At 46.2% G+C, this 18,946-nt stretch overlaps 1 protein-coding gene and 1 long non-coding RNA gene across 4 annotated transcripts in view; one reads left to right on the forward strand and one right to left on the reverse strand.

The window, feature by feature from the left end:
• Window positions 1-2,761, reverse strand: part of KCNQ3 (potassium voltage-gated channel subfamily Q member 3) — a 360,235-nt gene extending 357,474 nt beyond the window's left edge. For both annotated transcript variants that reach the window (XM_047421769.1, NM_004519.4), the window contains exon 1: window positions 1,813-2,761. In XM_047421769.1, coding sequence (XP_047277725.1) covers window positions 1,813-2,198 — 386 coding nt within the window. In that variant the 5' untranslated portion in view covers window positions 2,199-2,761. The remainder of the gene's footprint in view (window positions 1-1,812) is intronic.
• LOC105375765 (uncharacterized) lies at window positions 9,012-18,483 on the forward strand. Of its 2 annotated transcripts, none has more exons than XR_001745741.2 (3): window positions 9,012-9,322; window positions 17,086-17,255; window positions 18,249-18,447. It is a non-coding gene; the product is annotated as an uncharacterized LOC105375765 (long non-coding RNA). The 2 variants fall into 2 exon arrangements; XR_001745740.2 differs by lacking the exon at window positions 9,012-9,322 and adding an exon at window positions 14,320-14,516 and having other exon boundaries at window positions 18,249-18,483.
• The last annotated feature ends 463 nt before the right edge of the window (window positions 18,484-18,946 follow it).

The raw sequence follows: 18,946 nt of genomic DNA on the forward strand, positions 1-18,946 counted from the left end.
CCCACATGCTTCCATAGGACCCCCAGGTTTTTCAGTCAGTACGTACTGAACGCGATGTGCATGTGAAAGGACACGTGAATCATTGTATGACTGTGTGCACTCAACGAACTTCTTGTGCCTTTTTTAACTATCACATATTTCAGTATTCACTTCAATTTAACTAAACATATTGCTAGAGACAGAGAGAGGAATGTATTTTAATGCTTTTTTTTCGGCCACCTAAAAAGAGCAAATGAAAGAGCAACAATTGTTAAGCCGTCTCTCCAACCAGACCCCGACCAACACCTGCAAATAGACACACACACACACACATACACACGCACACTCATACAGACACCAACATCCACGTTTCTGGGAAAATGCCCCACTCCCACCCCACCCTTCCTGCTGGTTCCTTAGTTTCCGGGAAGGCACCCTCTCCGGGCTTGGTAACCTCCTTGAAGAAACCTGTTGCTAAGTCTGAGGTCCTGTGTGGACGCCCCCACCTGGTGGCCGAACCTAGAAAAACGTCTCTAACCAAGAAAAACTGGCAGGTAGTGTAACTAACTCCAAGGCTCCTGAGCCCTTCCGACCACATCAGTCATGGGTGAATTGGAGGAGAATAGAGAGGAAAATCCACTGCTAAACGCGTGGGGGAGAGAGGGGGGAGGGGGGGTTGCCAAGGTCATAGGCAATTCCCTGCCAAAACCCTGGTACAGTACAGCTTCCTAGAAGCAGCCATCAGGATGACTAAACCAGAGCCAGAAGGCAGAGCTTGATGGCTGGACGTGCCCTGCCAGCTCCGAGATGGGTGCTGACAGCACAGATTTCCAATCTTGAATGAGGAGCACCCCCACCATCCTCTCCCCCCTCCCAAATACGGGTGGATTTTCCATCCCCAGTGGCAGGTGCAGAGGGAGTTCCTTCTTCCTTCTGGCCATGCATTTACATCGGACTAGCAAGGAGATTCTTTCTAGGAGAACAGTGCCTGGGTGCAAACCTCCAGGCCAAGCCCCTCACATTCCCGGTGCCCTAGGCCAGCCAAAGCAGGAGAAGCAGCAGCGACTGAGGCTGAGGGAATATCGGATCCCAAATCAAGGAGATGTTTCAGCCAAAAGAGTCCCCGGCCCCCTCACCTCCTGGCTCTGTGAAGCCCCAGCCCCTCAGTCTAGGCTTAGACACACACGTTCCCATTCACTTCCCTAAAAGGAATCCTAGAACATGCATTTTGGCCAGTCCCAGCTCCCAGTCAGAGCAGCACCAGGTTCTTCTCTGTACCAGTACCCAGCGATCAGAAGGGTGGCACAAGCAAGCGACACACACACACACACACACACACACACGCTCCCCACTATGGGTGGTGCGCACCCCTCCCATCCCCAACTAAACTCAGTGGCGATCCCAACAGAAGGGATCCACCCGAAACAGAAACACAGAGCTCACGGGAGGACCCGCTTTATCCTCTTCAACCCTCACATTAATTGGAAAAACCCACATAATTATTTTAAGCTTCCAAACCAACACCCCTAGAAGATGTCATAAATGTGCACCCGCGCGCGCACACATCCGCCCAAATCAGCAGGGGAACCACGCTTCGTTTTTTAAGCCCCTAGTGTGGAACACCCGGAGAGCGGCAACACACACACACACACACACACACACACACACACACACACACACCCAGGGAAACGCGTGCTGAGGACGGGCTGGTCTCCCCTTCAGCGGGAAAGCATCCATGGGTCTTAAAGCCCCAGAGACTTCTCAGCTCCAGCCCCGACCCCAAGTCCCCAAGCGCGCCGCCGCCGAGGGCGCCCCGAGCGGCCGGGTACTCACACCAACGCGTGGTAAAGCAGCGCCCAGCCCCGCGGTCTCTCCAGGGCGTCGTAGATCAAAGTTTGGATGCGCCGGTACTTGGCGTTGTTTCTCTTGACTGGGCGGCTCAGCGGGGTCTTGGCCAGGAGCCCGATGCCCTGCGGGGTCCTCCGCTGCCCCTCGTCGCGGCCGCCGCCCTCCAGCAGCAGGGTCCCGTCTTTGTCGGCTCCGGCCCCGAGCGCCAAGGTGACTTGCTCCACGTCGCCGGGCGCCAGCCCCACTTTCCGCTCCTCGTCGCCGGCCGCCGCCGCGTCCCCTCCGGCTGGGTTAGCCGCCCCGCCGCCTCCGCCGCCCCCGTCGCCGCCGCCGCCAGCCGCCCCCGCCGCCCTGCGCGCCTTGAGCCCCATCTGCCTCGCCCCCGCCGGCCGCTTCGCCTTCTCCGCTGCTGCTCTGGGAAGAAGGGGCGCTCGGGGTGCGTGAACGAGGCGGCGGCGGCGGCTGCAAGCCCGGGAACTCCAATGCCATGATCCGCGCGCCCCTCCCCACCCCCCCCCAAAAGCAGGCAAAGGCGGGCCCCCTGGGGGGCAGGGGAGGCCAGGCAGGGGGTCAGGGGGTCACATCCCGCGCGGGTCAGCCGCAGGACCCCGAGGGTCGCGGGCCGGGGGCTGCGGAGAAGCTGGGAGGGCGCGCGAGGCTGGCGCGGAGGCGCTAGGGCGCGCGGCGGCGGGAGCCTGGAACCGGCGCTCCGGGGCGGCGGCGGCGGCGGCGGCACCCAGGCCGGCGAGCCCAAGACAGCATCGCAGTTTATTTACAAGCCCGGTGCCAGCCGCCCTCCCGCCCGCCAGCCACACGCGCCGCCGCCGCCGCCTCCTCCCTCCTCCGCGCTCCCACCCGCGCCCCTCCCCGCCCGTTCCAGCCTCAGCCTGTCAGCAGCAGCAGCAGCGAGCGCGCCGCGGGCCGAGAGCACGCCGCGTCCCTCCCTCCCTCCTTCCCCGGGGTGGGGCCCCATTGTCCCGCCCCGTCGCGGCGGGAGGCCCGGGCGGCGGCGCCCCGCCTCTTCCCGCCGACCCCCACCGCTGATTGTCTGGGGACCCAGGATCGCCTGGGCTACCGCCGCCCCCGTTGCAACCAGGCAGTGCGCCAGGCGGCTGCAGAGCCCGGCTCCTGGAGCTCCCGTGGGCGTTGGGGCTTCCCCTGGATGGGGCGTGACGGCGGGCAGTTGGGGGAAGAAGAGGAAGGGAGGAGGGACTGGGGGGTTGTCGCCCACCAAACATTGGCTCTGTGGTTGCAGCTTTGTGAATTTCCCTCACCCCCTACCCCTGCTCCTCGGCTTCAGAGGTAAAAGCCAAGTTGTCGGGTTGGTCAAGGCCGGGCGCACCGCGAACGCACCTGCTCTGTGGTAGCGAAGCTCGTGACTCCCTCTTCCCTCTTCCCTCTTCCCTCTTCCCTCTAGTTCGTGGTTCATGGTGGATGCCGCGGCCCTCTCCTCCCCCAATCTTTGAATAGCACCTTCACCTGTCTGGGTGGGCAAAGGACTGAAGAAATGCAGTCAGAATCTTTGATTCCTGCTTTGCTCCCGACTTGCACCCAAGCCAGTCATTCCCTCTCTGGTCCAAATTTCAATTCAATCAACCAATCTGTAACCCCTCGTGAGCTTCCCTGGCAAAGGGTAGTGATCTCTGTCCTGAAGATATGAGGTCTCTGCACTCCTAAGACCTCCGTCCTAGCCGGTGGAAGACAATGAAAAGACAAATTTTAACAGTAGAATTTCCGATATTGGTAAATAGTATGTGGTAACAAATTAGAGTGCTGCGCTATAGTGACTGGGGGAGTCACTCTAAACCGGCTGGTCGTGGAAGGCCTTATTGTGGAGGTGATGCTTCGAGGTGAGACCCTAATGACAAGCTGGGAGCAACTATGTAAATGTCCAGAGAGCCCTCCAAACAGCAGAACAGCGGGTGCGGAGGGGAAGGGTGGCTTGAGCTTAATGAGAGTAGGCCACAGGCAAAGGCTAGATCTTGTAAGACACTGACAAAGGACAGGAGCATCCTGCACTTCTTCCATGCCCACCGCCATCGGGGAAGCCTCCATTCCTGCTGCCCCATGGCATCTGTGGCCTCCTTTCCTTCCCACTCTCTCACCTCATGTCTGTCAGCTGGGGTGAGAGACATGGGGTGAGGGGAGACCCTGTGAACAAGGCCGAGGATCTATCCCTAGTGTATAAGAAAAGAGGAATCAGACCTGCAAGAACACCAGCTCTGGATTTGCCTGGAGAAGTTGGCCAAGGAGAGCATAGGAGACAGGGAAGGGAAGAAGGAAGGGAAGGGAGTAGGAATGTATGGGCTGGGGCAGGGGAAGGGTCAGAGAACCACCACCCTATAGAATGACTATCAAAGGGGAGAACCTCAAAAGAGGTCTCCAAATCAAGAAGGGAGGAGTTTCCAGAGGAAGTTAAACTGTAAGACTGAAATCATTAAAACAGTGTGGGATCGGTACAAAAATAAACTCTCAGTGCAACAGAATTCTTTGTCCAGAAACAGACTCTAGCATGGGAACTTAATATTAAACGGGAAGAGTTCATGACAAGAACCCCAGGGGAAAAGGCTGTTCACTGGTTGATGGGTTTTGTGAGGAATTATAGGAAATAGCATATGGAAACGTGGCAGTGCCCAGTAGGACCCCTGTACATCCGTGAATAGATAAATGCTCAGCAGTGAGTTGGAGTAAGTAACCAGTCCAGCAGGCTCTGGAAAGGAGAAAAAGCCCAAGGAAAGGGAATTGCTTGGATCAGAATATCTCCAAATGGGAGCTGGGCACTGCAAAGCCTCCTCCTGCCCATGTGTTAGCCCTGCCATGCCCAACACACCAAACTCACGTGTATTCTTCCTGTCCTACTCCCATCCCAACTAACCAGGAAACAATCTTGCCCTTTATCTCTGAGCACCTTTTCCAAAGTCGCTGTTCTCCCTCAGTCTCTTCCTGTTTTGTTCATTCATTACATTTATCACTGCCAAAAATGATCGCATTTACATTCTGTTTACTTGTTTACTGTTATCTTACTAAACAAGAGCAGGGACTAAGCATCCTAGTTTTGAATCCTGGAAGTGTGTCTGTCATATCACAGGCTCTCAATCTGTGTTGGCAGCATGAATAAATGATGAATAAGCGAATGAAGAGTGTAAAGCTCTCAGCACAATGCCTGGCACACAAGCATTCCATGTATGTTTGTGGGTGAGATTTTTGTTTGGTTTCGTTTTACCATTGTGAAAGTCTTCATACTTAGGAAGTCTTGCTGCTCCTTTATGCTCCTTGCAACTTAAGAAACATGATAAAAACATTTTGACAGTATTTAAAATAAAAAGGCTCACTAGATAAACATAAAAAGAAGACGAGTCAAGGAATGTGGAAAGAAGATGTGAGAATTTATTATTGTGCAATTAATCAAAAGTTCAGATTCCCAGAATGACAGTTTGGATCCTCAGATACATGAAAAGACTTCTATTTTGATGGGAGCTTCAGACTGTCAAGTATTACAATTTAAGATAAGGTGCAGGGGCTATTTGCATGCCTCCCATAAAAGATGAGGTTAAGTCAATAACAAATTCATAACTGAGCCAATTAAACCCAATGATAGGGAAACTGCCAGGTAGTTGAGTCTAGTAAATGGAGTTGCTTTGATGGTTTTATAATCCAATGGCAAGCAGTGTTTAGGCTTCTAATAGGGGCTTTGGAAATGTCATCAAAAGCAGGGTGTGCACTGAGTGTCATTGGAGGAACTGTGTAATCACAGCGCTCCACAGCACAGGTTTCAGCTAAAGAAAATCAAACATCCTATATCCCACTGGAAGGAAACTTCTCAGAGGCCTAAAGTCCCTAAGAGCCTCAGGTTCCAGCTGAACATGGCACCAAAGCAAAGAGTTAGCGACACACTATCAACAAGGACAACAATGAGGCATTCCTCTCCTGGCTTTGAGCCCCAGCTCAAAGTGTAACATTGAAAACCCACCCACCTGCTTCCCCTCCTCCATGCCTTAGCTTTCATTTTTGCTTTTCTCTTTAGCTGGTCTTCATCTCAATGTATAGGCGAGATGTTCAGGTAAACTCTCTCTCCCTTGCAGGTGAGGCACTTCCTGGGAATGAGTAAAAAGAGAGAGACAAAGGGCTTTCTCTGAGCCTACATTTCTGCCTCTGTAAATCCAGGGTTGTAAGCATCTCATGATGAGGTGATATTCCAGTGATGGTTATTATGACTGTCATTGAATGAGTAGGACAGTCTCAGGTTCACAGGCATATGCAAATGGTGGTCCTGCCTGCCCCTCTCACTCTGTTCCCTAAACACATTAAATAATTGCTTTAGGCCAATTTTAAATTTACTTTTATTATTTGTTACACAAGAAATGCAAAGTAGTTGTTAGGAAATTATGAAATGTAAATCAGCCAGAAGGCAACAGTAATCATCTTGTTACCCAGAAACACCCTCTGTGAATATTCTGATCATGACTACTGCCAACAGGACTGAAGCATGCCTGACCTGCAAGCAATGGAGATGCTCAGCCCCCAGTGGGGCACCTTCCCTAGGGGACCAGTCAGCCACTTGGTGGCAAGTTGATTACACTGGACCTTCCAAACATGGGCGGGGGCGGACATATGCCATTACTGGAATAGACACGTATCCTGGGTACAGAATTGCCTCTCCAGTCCTCAATGATTCTGCCAACAACACCATCCATGCATTTAGGAATGCCTCATTCACCGTCAAAGAATTCCACATGAAACTACTTCTGATGAAATCATTTGTCCCCTAAATGCTTACTCTGGACCTGGGTATAAATCTACCTCTCAGAGGAGCCAGTGAGACAGATCTTTGTAGCCAAAAAGAGCACTCTTTGCTTGTTTGGAGGAGACACGACAAGCTCTAATTCTGGGTCTAGGAACAACCCGGGCCAAAAGGAAATATGTTTGGGAACAATGGATCCCATTACTACCCTATATGCGTTTTTTATTCTTGAAAACCCAATCTCAGCAAATCCTCAAATTTACTGCCCCCTCTTCTCTTCCTCCAGGTCTTCTTTTTGTCTTTCCCTTTCCTAGACTTCATATCACTGTACACTAGGACAGAGGAACTCTTGTTCCCTTACAGGTGAGAAGCCTTCCTGGGAAGGAACGAGAAGAAGCTAAGGAACACCCTTGTACATGTCACTCAGCAGAGGAGGGCAGAATAGAGTTCAGCATTTAGATCGTCCTGGCTCTGTGACTTTGCACTTAGTGACCTGAAAAAAGTTGCCAGACTTATTTCTAGCCTGCTTCCTCAGCTGTTCAATGGGACAATGTTTCTTATCCTCCCTGCCTTAGACTTGGTCTGAGTATCATTCCTCCCAGGATCCACGTTAAGGTAGGGCTTTGCAGCCTGTGATGTACTGTGCACATTGACTACATTACTGAAAGGCATCTGACACAGCATCGTGGAAGGCACTCAAGTCAGGCATGATGGGGAATGAATGAGCTCCAAGCCAAACGGCGCTCACCTTCTCTCCAGATGGGAATGATTAAGGGGCTTAACTTAGATTGTTCTCAGTTGGAAAAGTGTTTCTTTTCCTGCCTCACATTTGCAATTTTTACATTAACCTTCAAATTAATTTTGCATGTTTCTTAATGTCACTTTTGTCTTTTTCTTTTAAATAATTATGTTGGGTAAAATATCCAATTTATCTACTTAACGAATTCATTCATTCATCCTTCCAGTGAGCATTCACCAATTGCCTGTTTTATGTGTTGCTCTCCATCAATGAAAAACAGAAGAAAAAAAATTAATTCTATATTTAGTTCCAAAGATGAGCTAATAAAATGCAAAACAATTTACTCATCTTTCTACGGTCATTGCTGTCAATGACCTGGCTCGTGATGGATGCTTATTATCATAATAACATTTATCGTGTGCTTCCTCTACACTTGGCACTGGGCTGACTGCTATATATAGATTATCTCATTTAATCCTCACAACAAAGTTATGAAATAGGCATTATGGCTATTGCTTTTCATATCAACCATGATGAAAATTATACTTAGGTTAAATACTGCACCCAAGTTTACATGATTAAGAAATGACAGCCCCAGGATTCAAGCTCAGGTGATCTAACTTTGGAACCTATACATTTAACCACTACAATGTATTATTTCCTGAGAACGCTATTCCAGGTGGCAGGTTCAGTGTAGGCAAAGGCTTGGAGGCAAGACAGAGAGTGGAGTTTCCAGGGAAAGTGGTTGTGATGGTTGGAGGCAAGCGTGGATGGAGCAGAGGCCACATGGGGAAGGCTTTCATATATATACCAGGCTTATGGACTTGGGGGTCATGAGTTACTTTAAGCGTAAACTGACCTAATCCCAGGTGGTTCCACAAAGGGCTTTCTGACAACTCTGTGGAGGAGAGGTTGGAAGTGAGAAAAATCAATTCAATCAGAGCAAGTACAAGGCAGAGCCCAGCTGAGAGGTGTTGAGGCAGATCTTGGAGAGGAGGGGCTGGCTGCAAGAGGTATTTAGAAAAGAATATTGCCAAGAATTGCTACCTAAAAAGACAGGGCTGGGTCATGGGTCACTTTGCATCTTAGAGGCAGAAACAACCTCCCCACAATGTCGCAGGCTCTTGCCATCCTGACTGTGGTCTCCCTGCTAGGCTGAGCATCCTCTTCTGGCTCCGGTAATTGGCTCCCTGGGCAGTCTGTTCCTTTCTCTTCACCAAATGACACTTCTTCTCTTTGGGTCCTGATTGTTAAAACACCCAGTTTGCCCATGTCATTTACATATCCCAATTATCCATTGCCATTTTCCCACTAATGAGCCCATGTGCCTGCGTTTAAGAGCGTCTGACCCAGAGTCCACTTGCTCAAGGGGGCTGAATGCAGCAGGCACAGACGCTATTCATAGTGCCTTCAGACAAAAAGGGCTGGGGCCATTTTTCTTACCTCCCTCTATTAGGGCTGGACTGACTCTCTAGACAGCAGACCTTTATGCCTCATTACCCCACCCCACAGACACCACGATGCTCAGTGTACCTTGGTTACAAGAAGAAAAGCACCATGCCAACTGGAGAAGCACTCTGTGTTCTTCCTGCAATCATAAAGGGCCCATTGTGCCCTGAGGCACAGGTGCAGATCCTATTAAAGCCAAGGCCTTCTTAATCTCCATCTCAGAATTCTTTGCAGAGGGGAAGTTGATGTTTGTGTGCTAAGCCACTGGCCAGGAGATGATGCTGAATAGGGAGAGTTCAGGCTTTTGAGACCGCCTGCCCTGAGTAGGAATCCTGTCCCTGAAAAATGCTAAGCGTTTGACCCTGCACAGGTTTAATAACCAGCCTTAGTCTCACCTGAAAAGTAGGAATAACAATAATCACCTTGAAAATATGTGTCAGGATTAAGGGAGTTCACATCTGTCAAACTTTAGCACGAAGAGGCATTCATTTCATATTCATTGATATAATATGAATGGTACCATATTCATTCTTACTATTTCATCCAAATGAGAAGAGAACTTTCAGGTATGAAGCCCAATGTTGCTCTAGGTTCTGTGACAGTGACCCACGTTTTGTATCACAACCCAGTCCACTTAATAGAATACACATAGAACTAACTGAAATGATATTTTCTATTCTCTATGTTATAAAATGCTGACTGCAAGCTATAATTTTTTGATAGCACTTCCATAACAAAATCCCACAGACCAGGTGGCTGAAACAATAGGACTTTACTTTCTCAGGGCTCTGGAGGCTGGAAGTCTGAGATCAAGGCGCAGGTAGGATTGGTTTCCCCTGAGTCCTCTGTCCTTGGCTTGCAGATGGCCGACTTCATCCTGCTTCCTCACATGGTGTTTCCTCTGTGTGCATGCCCCCTGGTGTCTCCTTGTGTGTCCAAATGTCTTCTTATGAGGACACCAGTCAGATGGGATTAATTCCTGCCCTAATGACCTCATTTTAACTCTGTTGCCTCTGTAAAGCCCCTATCTACAAATATGGTCACATTCTGAGGTCCTGGGTATTAGGGCTTCAATGTATGAATTTTGGGGGGCCACAAAATCAGCCCGTCACATGAACACATTACAGTGACTTCACATTTTTACTGAGGGTCATGAATCTGGCCTATAAAATGTTAATCCAGTTCAATCTTCAGCCAAGCTATTTGGTTTCTGCCTGAATATCTCCATCATTTGGGGGCTCATTGCCTCCCAAGAAATCCCATTGTTGAATAACCAATATACTCACCAATTGCTGAGTGTATGTTCTATGGCCAGACCCAGGCTAAGCATCTTCTTTACCTCATTTAGTTGTCACAACTGCCCATTGAAGTTGGTGTTACACAAATATACATTCAAGAATATGTGTGGCCGGGCACAGTGGCTCACACCTGTAATCCCAGCACTTTGGGAGGCTGAGGCAGGTGGATTGCCTGAACTCAGGAGTTCGAGACCAGCCTGGGCAACACAGTGAAAGCCCGTCTCTACTAAAATACAAAAAATTAGCCAGGCATGGTGGCATGTGCCTGTAATCCCAGCTGAGAGAGGCTGCCTGTAATCCCAGCCTCTTGGGAGGCTGAGGCAGGAGAATCACTTGAACCCAGGAGGCGGAAGTTGCAGTGAGCCGAGATCACACCATTGCACTCCAGTCTGGGCGACAAAGCAAGACCGTCTCCAAAAAAAAAAAAAAAAAAAAAAAAAAAAAAAAAGTGTGTGGATTGCTCAGAGTCAGAGAAGAATATCTGAGCAGAGATTCAAACTCAGATTTTTCTCCAAAGCCCAAAAAATGATGTCTGCATTATTGGAAAGTCCTTCATGTTGAGATGAAAGTTTCCCAAAGTAATGTGAATATCAAAAAGATGATAAAATTCAGATGTTTCATAGGAGGCCTGTGATTCCAGAAAGGTTTGGTGTTTGAAGACCTAGGATTCCATTCCAGCCTTAGCACTTTCTAAGTGGCCTTGAGGAAGCGCTGTCAATTCTCTTCTACTTGGTTTCCTTCTCTGGAAATGGAGAAGGAACAAGTAATATCTACCTCTTGTGCTCATGGTGAGTTTCAAAGCTAACTGTAGAGACCCAAAGGTCTCTATCTCAATCTGTCTCTATCTCAATCTCTGTCTCTGTCTCAGTCTACTGAGGTTATTGCTGCATCCCAGCTGGTTCCTTGGGCTATATTCTCATTGCTGCCTAACCAATTATTAATCTCTCTGAACTTCATTTTCTATTATGATGATTATCCTTGTATTATATATTATCTGCACAATAATGACTTTCTCAGAAGATTATTGAAAGATGAGATAGTTTAATCCATGTGTGACATTGCATTATTTAGAATTGTCTTGACTTTTCTTTTGATGCTCCAAATTGATCAAGAAAAAACAATGAAAAAATACCTTTTCTTCCTCAGAGGAAGAACAGATAAGTCTCTTTGATCTTCAGTTAAGGCTCCCTTTTAAACAGGTTTTAATTTTTAAATTTTCTGAGACCACCCCAAACAGGCTTTATGAATGCAAGTCCCAGCCACAGTTTACAAACCTCCCGTCTGCAGGGACCAGGCAGGAAACTTAAGTCACCACACTTATGTAAAGGGCTATGTGCAGAATCTACCACAAGAGGGAGTAATTCATAAATGGTAACGGCACGTATAATTGCCATCATGAGGAAAAAGGAAGAGGAAGAACAAAAACAATTAAGAGAAAGAGGAAGATGCTCTTAGGCCCTAATTCTGGAGCATCAGTGCTCCCTCAGACTGTTCCCCTTCATCTACACCCCTGTTCTAGGCCAGGATCCCTGTGCTATGATTTTGGACTTCTCATCCTGGTCTCAAACTTTACGGGCGATACTTCAAGTGGTTTTCAACCTAAACTGGAAATCCTCATTCCATAAAGTGTTTTTGCTACAAATAATTTGTGGCAAAAATAAAAATAAAACAATAAATTAAAACAATCCATTAAAATATCACTATCATTTATTTTCTGCATGTGCAAACTACAGCTGTCATCTTTTTCCTCAAGTTCTTTGAGTAAATAAATGCTCAGGATAAATATTCTGTCATTTTCTATTCTCCCAAAACATAGTTTCGAAAACCCAAAGGGCTAGATGTGCCCTATTTAAGAAACATGTATCACCACCAACTTTTAGTAGCCAGCACTCATTAAACACACCAGGTAAGAGTCAAATATCTCCATGAAAACCTTCATGCTATTGGTAGATTATGTCAGAAAACCAAGCATCAACATGAGTTCATTTCCAAATATAACTTTTGGATGGCCAGCCATACTTTCTTTCACTTTTAGAAAAGGGGTAACAGGACCCAACAGGATATCTGTATGTAAAGGTTGTTCCTTTGTGTTTACACAGTGCCTCCGTGCCCAGATGTGGGATTTTTTTTTCTTTTTTGTTCGTATGTTTGTTTTTGCATCTCTTAGCACAACCTGATGTGGTCTGAAAATCAGGAGAATGATTACTCTTCAGCAAATATGCACTCTCCTGCATCCATGGGAGGATTACGCTTCCCGCTGACGTGGCTGGTTCCCATAACTTGCTCTTGCTGGTGGAATACGGACAGAAGCAAACATGTGCCACCTCCAAGCACAGGCATTCAGAGGCATCACCTGCTCATGCTGCTTCTCTGGGAGGCCTGACCTCCACCTGGAGAAGAACATGCCCCAGGGAACTGCTGCCCCCTCCAGCCTGGACCCCAGAATGAGACAGGGGGAACAGAGCTACCTCACTGTCCCACAGACCTGTGAGCAGAATCAGTGCCTATAGTGGAAAGCTATTGAAATTTTCACCATTTTTTTTGTGGGTTTTTTTTTGTGTGTATGTAAGGAAAAATCAGAAATTGGCAAAAGAGATTATTTGGCATTCTTTCAGGGGAGGGCCAAGATTCCTGAATCAATGATCTCTGCGAATCATTGATTCTACAGGAATCTGCACCTTTGACTGTCTTACTATTGAATCTATTTACAACTCTGTGAGGATAAAGGTTAACTTGTAGAAAACTGATAACAATGCCAATGAGTTTTGTCCAGTAAAGATGCAACTGATTCGTGCCATGCAGAAAAGATAACTCCAAATGTTACATGTTATAGCCTTTTGAATGTTAACCTGTTTTGCATCTTTTCGCAAATTTATTTCAGCATTTCTAGTTGTCTATGTATCTTTCTGTTCTACAAAGATCTCCTTTGAATTGGTCTTAGCATACTAATGCTTTGCTCATTACTTGATGAGTTGAATAAAAATCTTTAACATGTATTCATTTTACATACACGAGAGGTATGTTTTTAACTTATAAAATAAATGTTAGCATTTGTTATGAAGCAGAGGCGAACATATGAGGGTTCTAGGCTAGTTTCAGTCATCATTGACTGAGCAGCTTAGAGAAGCCTTCAATGTCCTTATCTGTAAAGTGAGGTTTTGGGACAGAGAGTTTCTTTTTTCAGTTTTAAAGGTCTCATGGAGTAGGGAGGGCGAGTATTATGAACCCATTATACAGATGGAAATGCCGAGAGTTAGAGAGGTTTCAGATTTTCTCAAAGCCCCGGAATACCTCTGCCTCCCACATTAGTTCAACATCGCTGGACTGCACAGCAAATGGACCTCGGGCTGCACAGATGAAAACCTTTCACGAGCTCATGCTCAGGTTCTTGCTTAAGGAAAAGAACAGTGTGTGGAGTCTCACAGACCGAACTTGCCTCTTGGCGTCACGAATTAGTAACTGTTTAACCTTGGGCAAATTGCTGAATATCTCCAAACCTCAGTTTTATGATATATACTATGGGGATAAAAATGTGTACTTTATAATGTGGCCGTAAAATGACAAAGGAAATGTATAGTGGCCAATACGGTACCTGGCGCATAGCGGGAGTGCTATAAATGCCAGCTTGCCTTCCATCTCTTTCAGCAGTGTCAGAAGAATTCCTGCTTCAGAGTCAACCCAGCACAAAGTTTAAGGCTCTACTACTTTCTAGCTGTGACTTTGAGCAGGTTAGAAGGCGCCTGTGCCTTCGTTCTATCCTATGTAAAATGGAGATAGGAGTGCTACCTCTTAGTACCGGTCTGAAAATATCCACAGGGCAATATCCAGGACTGCTGAACACAGGGGCCACAATGGAGGTGCTAAATCCATTGTTTTTAATCATTAATTAATGATTTTTTTAAAGTCAGGCAGAGTTAAGGTCAGAGAGAGGAACAACAAGGATCTTTGTATGAAATTTTGAACAGAAACTGCCTTAAAAGCCAGACTAACATCAACAGCCTATAGAGTTGGGGAGCCCAATTCTCAGCTGAAGGAAGCAGAATTACATGATAAAAGAGCCCTGCTTAATCAAAAATTGTGTGAACCCTAATTTCTAAAAATGTTGATGAGGGGTATTATGTATTTATATGCAATTCTGAAAGACTTATATCCATCTTAATGGCTGGAAATGTCCTTCAAATTTTCCATCTGCCCTGGAATAGGTCTAATGTGATAACAAACAGGAAATTGACTGGGCTGAGGGACATGCAGTTCTGTTTTGTACCATAAAATATATGAGGCTGCTGACATTGCATATTAATTAGCTGATCCTTTCCTTTCCAAATTAAGAGCTCAGTTTTGTATTACTTACACGGATGTAAAACTTAGCTCTGTGGTTTTGGATGCATCGAGAGCTCATTCACTAAATATTTTTGGAGCACTTAGTAGTTTCCAGGATCTTCCAGGCTTGGCAAGGAATGAGGTAAGACATAACTTAAACCATGGAAAATCTCTTACCCTCTAGGAAGATGATGGGGGGAGGATAAGAAAAGAGTAAAAGTGATAGCAGTAAATCATTCCAGAAACATCTAGGCCTTTCCAAAGCATCTAGTATGTTTTATCTTGTAGTCATTGGGAATCTTGTGAGCTTCATGTTTTTCTCTTTGTTTTGGCCAGAAAGCTAAGGGCTGATATTCCCTGCTTTCATATATATATGTCTTAAAACTCTTATTATTCATTCATTCATTTAATAGTTATTGCACAACTACTATATGCCAGGCACTCTACTAGGTGCCAGAAATACAGCAATACACAAAACAGGCAAACAGTATTGCACTTAGAAAGCTTAAAATCAGGGCTGAGCTCAGCAGCCAATACCTGTAATCCTAGCACTTTGGGAGGATGAGAGGGAAAGACCACTTGAGCCCAGGAGTTTGAGGCTGCACTGAGCTATGACTGCGCTGCTGTACTCCACCCTGGGTGACAGAGCAAGACCCCCCAAAAAAAGAGAGAGAGAGGGAGAAAAGAAAGCTTCTGTTTAAGTAAGGAAGATTAACAATAAACACAACAGAGAAGTAAATATAGGGTTAAGATTTTACTTGGGCCAGGCATGGTGGCTCACACCTGTAATCTCAGCACTTTTGGAGGCCGAGGCGAGTGGATCACCTGAGGTCAGGAGTTCAAGACCAGCCTGGCCTACATGGCGAAACCCCGTCTCAACTAAAAATACAAAAATTAGCCAGGTGTGGTGATGCATGCCTGTAATCCCAGCTACTCAGGAGGCTGAGGCAAGAGAATTGCTTGAACCCGGGAGGCGAAGGTTGCAGTGAGTAGCTGAGATTGCACCAGTTCACTCCACCCTGGGTGACAGAGTGAGACTCTGCCAAAAAAAAAAAAAAAAAAGATTTTACTTGATGTTCCAGTTACTTATGGCCATGTAACCAACGCCCCCCAATCTTACTCGTGCAAAGTAAAACATCCTTCTGTCTGTGGGTTAGCAATTCTGACAGGGCACTGGGGAATGATCTGTCTCTGCTGTTTGATGTTTGGGCCTTAGCTGGGAAGATTGCCACTGACTCCAATGGATGGGGCTGGATCAGGAGGGGTGAGAGGATCCACTTCCAACACGACACAGCTTCTTCACTGGGAATGGTTGGATACTGGGCTCAGCTGGGACTGCCAGACAGAAAGCCTACATGATGTAGCCTCTCCAGTATGGTCATGTCAAGATAGTGGGACTTCTTATGTAGAGGGCAAGTGTCCAATGATTTAGGCAGAAGCTGTACAACCTTTGAAGAACTAGCCTCAAAAGTCACCTCCTGTCACTTACAATGCATGCCATTGGTCGAAGGAGTCAAAGCTCACTGAGATTCAGGAAGATGGAAAACAGACTCAATGGAAAAGTTTCAAATTGTTTGTGAGTCGATTTTAAAACTGGCACATGACTTCAGGGTCAATTCCCATTATCGTGGGGAGGGGCTTCATATTTAGAGTCAATCACACCAGGAGTTGAACAGCGGGTCAGGCATGTGCTTTTATTTAGCAAGCATCATTGTGTGTTGATGGTGAGTCTATCACCGCGCCAGGTGCTGGGGGTTCCACATTGAGGTAGACACAGTTTATCCCCTTGAATCAGGAAAGGAAAGTGGCTAAACACCCAATGATAAATGTGCAGTTTGAGAAATACGGTGGTGGTGAATACACAGGGGACAATGGAACCACATGGAAAGAGAAGTTAATTGAGTGAATTTGGGAAAATTATTTAGCATCTCTCTGTGATTAGCGTCCCTATTTGTATAACAAGGCTGATAAGACCTGTCTTATAAGACTGGTTTAAGGATGAGATGAGACAAGTAATCTAAAGCAGCTCCTGATCAATCACTTCTCATCATCCTGTTGAGGTCTGTGCAAGCAACTTCTCACTATCTGAGCTTTTCCTAGTTTGTTTATTTGTTTGTTTGTTTGTTTACTTGCTTATTATCTGAACTCACCAAACTAGAATATAAGATATATAGAGTCTATTATTCAGGCTATAGTATAAAAAATGAACTCGTCTCTGTCTAGAAAGCCCTTCCCTTCAGATATTTTGTGGCCAACTCTTTCACCCTTTACAAAAAAGCACTAAATACGCTGCCTAGTCATTCTTCTTAAAATTGCATCCTAGAACCCCCTCTATAATCGCTGGCTTCCCATTCTGTTCTATTTTTCTTTTTCAAACAGCACTTAAAACCTCTAACATACTCTACATAAGCTTTAGACTTATTTGTTTATCCTCTTGCCCTGCTAGAATGTAAATTGCATTAGGGCAGGGATCTTTGTTTTTTTCACTGATGCATCACAGGTGCCTGTAACCATACCCTTTTCATAATGGAACAAATGAATCCACTGGGAAGGGGTAGGACATTGAGTCAGAAGGGTGGCAGGAGTCCTTTGTAAGCCAGGATAAACAGTTTGGATTTTTTTTTTTCCAAAATAAGATAAACAGTGTAGACTTTTATGAGAAGGTATGACATGAACTAAATGACATTTTTACGTCATTCTGGCTGCTGTAGAGAGAATGGAATAGAAGAAGTCAAGATTGGACAGGACATGAGTTAGGAGAGAGGGTGATGGCTTGGACCAAGGTGATGGTCCTGGAGACAAAGAGAAATTTGCAGCTTTCAGATGTGTTTTTACATGGAAGGAAGAACTGACCAGACATGCTGATGGGCTGAACAAGAGGGTGAGTGAGAAGGAAATCGAGGCTAACTCATAGGTTTTTGGTTTGAGTAACCTGGCATGATATAATGTCATTTACTGATATGAGTCAAGACTAAGGAAGAAGCAGAAAGTCTGCGTGTGTGCGTGTGTGTTGGTGTATGTGTACGTAGTGTGGTGTGTGTGTGTGCAGTGGTGTGTATGTGTATTGTGTGTGTTGTGTGTATTGTGTTTTTTGTTTGTGTAGTTTGGTTGTGTGTTTTTGTGTGTGTAGTATTAGATGTGTGTGCAGTGAGGTGTGTGTGTAGTGTGTATGTGTATAGTGTGGGATGTGTGTGTGTAGCAGTGTGTGTTCATAGTGTGTGTGGTGTGTATGTAGTGTGAGGTGTGTATGCAGTGGTGTGTTGTGTGGTGTGTGTGTGTAGTGTGGGAGTGTGTTTCTAGTGAAGTGTGTGTGTAGTGTGGGGTTTGTGTGCAGTGCACGTGTTTTTGGTATAGTAGTGTGTGTGGCCTGTGTGTAGTGTGGGAAGTGTATGTGCAGTGTGTGTGGGGGTATGGTAGTATGTGTGTGGGGTATGTGTGTGCAGTGGTGTGTATGTGTAGTGTGTGTGTTGTGTGTATTTTTTTGTGTGTAGTTTGGTTGCATGTGTTTTGTGTGTGTGCAGTATCAGATGTGTGTGCAGTGAGGTGTGTGTGTAGTGTGGGAGTGTGTTTATAGTGAACTGTGTGTGTACACTGTGTGTAGTGTGGGATGTATGTGTGCAGTGTGTGTGGAGGTATGGTAGTATGTGTGTGGGGTGTGTGTGTGCAGTGGTGTGTGTGAGTTGGGTGTGTGTGCCTGTAGTATGGGGTGTGTGTGCAGTAGTGTGTGTATGTGTAGTGTCGTGTGTCAATGAGTGTAGTGTGCTGTGTATGTATGTGTGATATGGGCCACCAGGGGTGGGGCAGTTAAGATTTTTTTTCTTGACTTTGTTCATTGTGAGATGAGTATTAGACTGATGAAGTATTCTCCATCTAGAATCCAGCCTAAGGAGACAGTCAGAAGTGCTCACCAAGATTCAGAGGTTCTTCATTGCCTTACCATATTTGTAAGTCACAAACTGGAAGCTACCACAGGGTCCAGCCTTATGAGAGTGGTGCAGTCAATCCCAGATCTTCCATATGACAGGGAGCTGGTCATCCTTCAAAGTGCTGCTTACTAAGATGACAATGAGACTGGAAAATTCTCATTAAATAAACAAATGGCTGGGTAAGTGCTTACTGCATGGTGTATTCATGTTAGTAGAGAAATATCTACAAAATACGCTCGTGGTAAACTCTATAAATCATGAAAATGTAAAACTGCAAGAAATCTCAAGGTCATCGTTTCAAAATGCATGCTATAGTTGAGCAAAAGAAAAAATCAGTGAAGACTAAGAGGCTGAAGAGTTCCTCATTTAAGCTGTGACATTTGATCCTATTAGTGGGAAAAGACCTGAACTGAGAGGACCTGTGTCCTCGCCCCTGGTTTTGTTGCTGTTGCTTTGCTGGGTGACCTTGGAGACACCATTGAACGTCTCTTGGCTCAGCTTTTTCACGGTTAAATGAGACAGTTGGTAATTCCTTGTTTTTCAGAGTTTGCATGGTTTGGATGCCATTGGCTCTTCCTTATAGCAGGGAGTTTTTCAGCTGCAAAGAGCGGTGGAGTTCCTCTCTCCCAGCCCACTCATAATTCGG

Source organism: Homo sapiens, chromosome 8, assembly GCF_000001405.40.
Source record: "Homo sapiens chromosome 8, GRCh38.p14 Primary Assembly".
Lineage (NCBI taxonomy): Eukaryota > Metazoa > Chordata > Mammalia > Primates > Hominidae > Homo > Homo sapiens.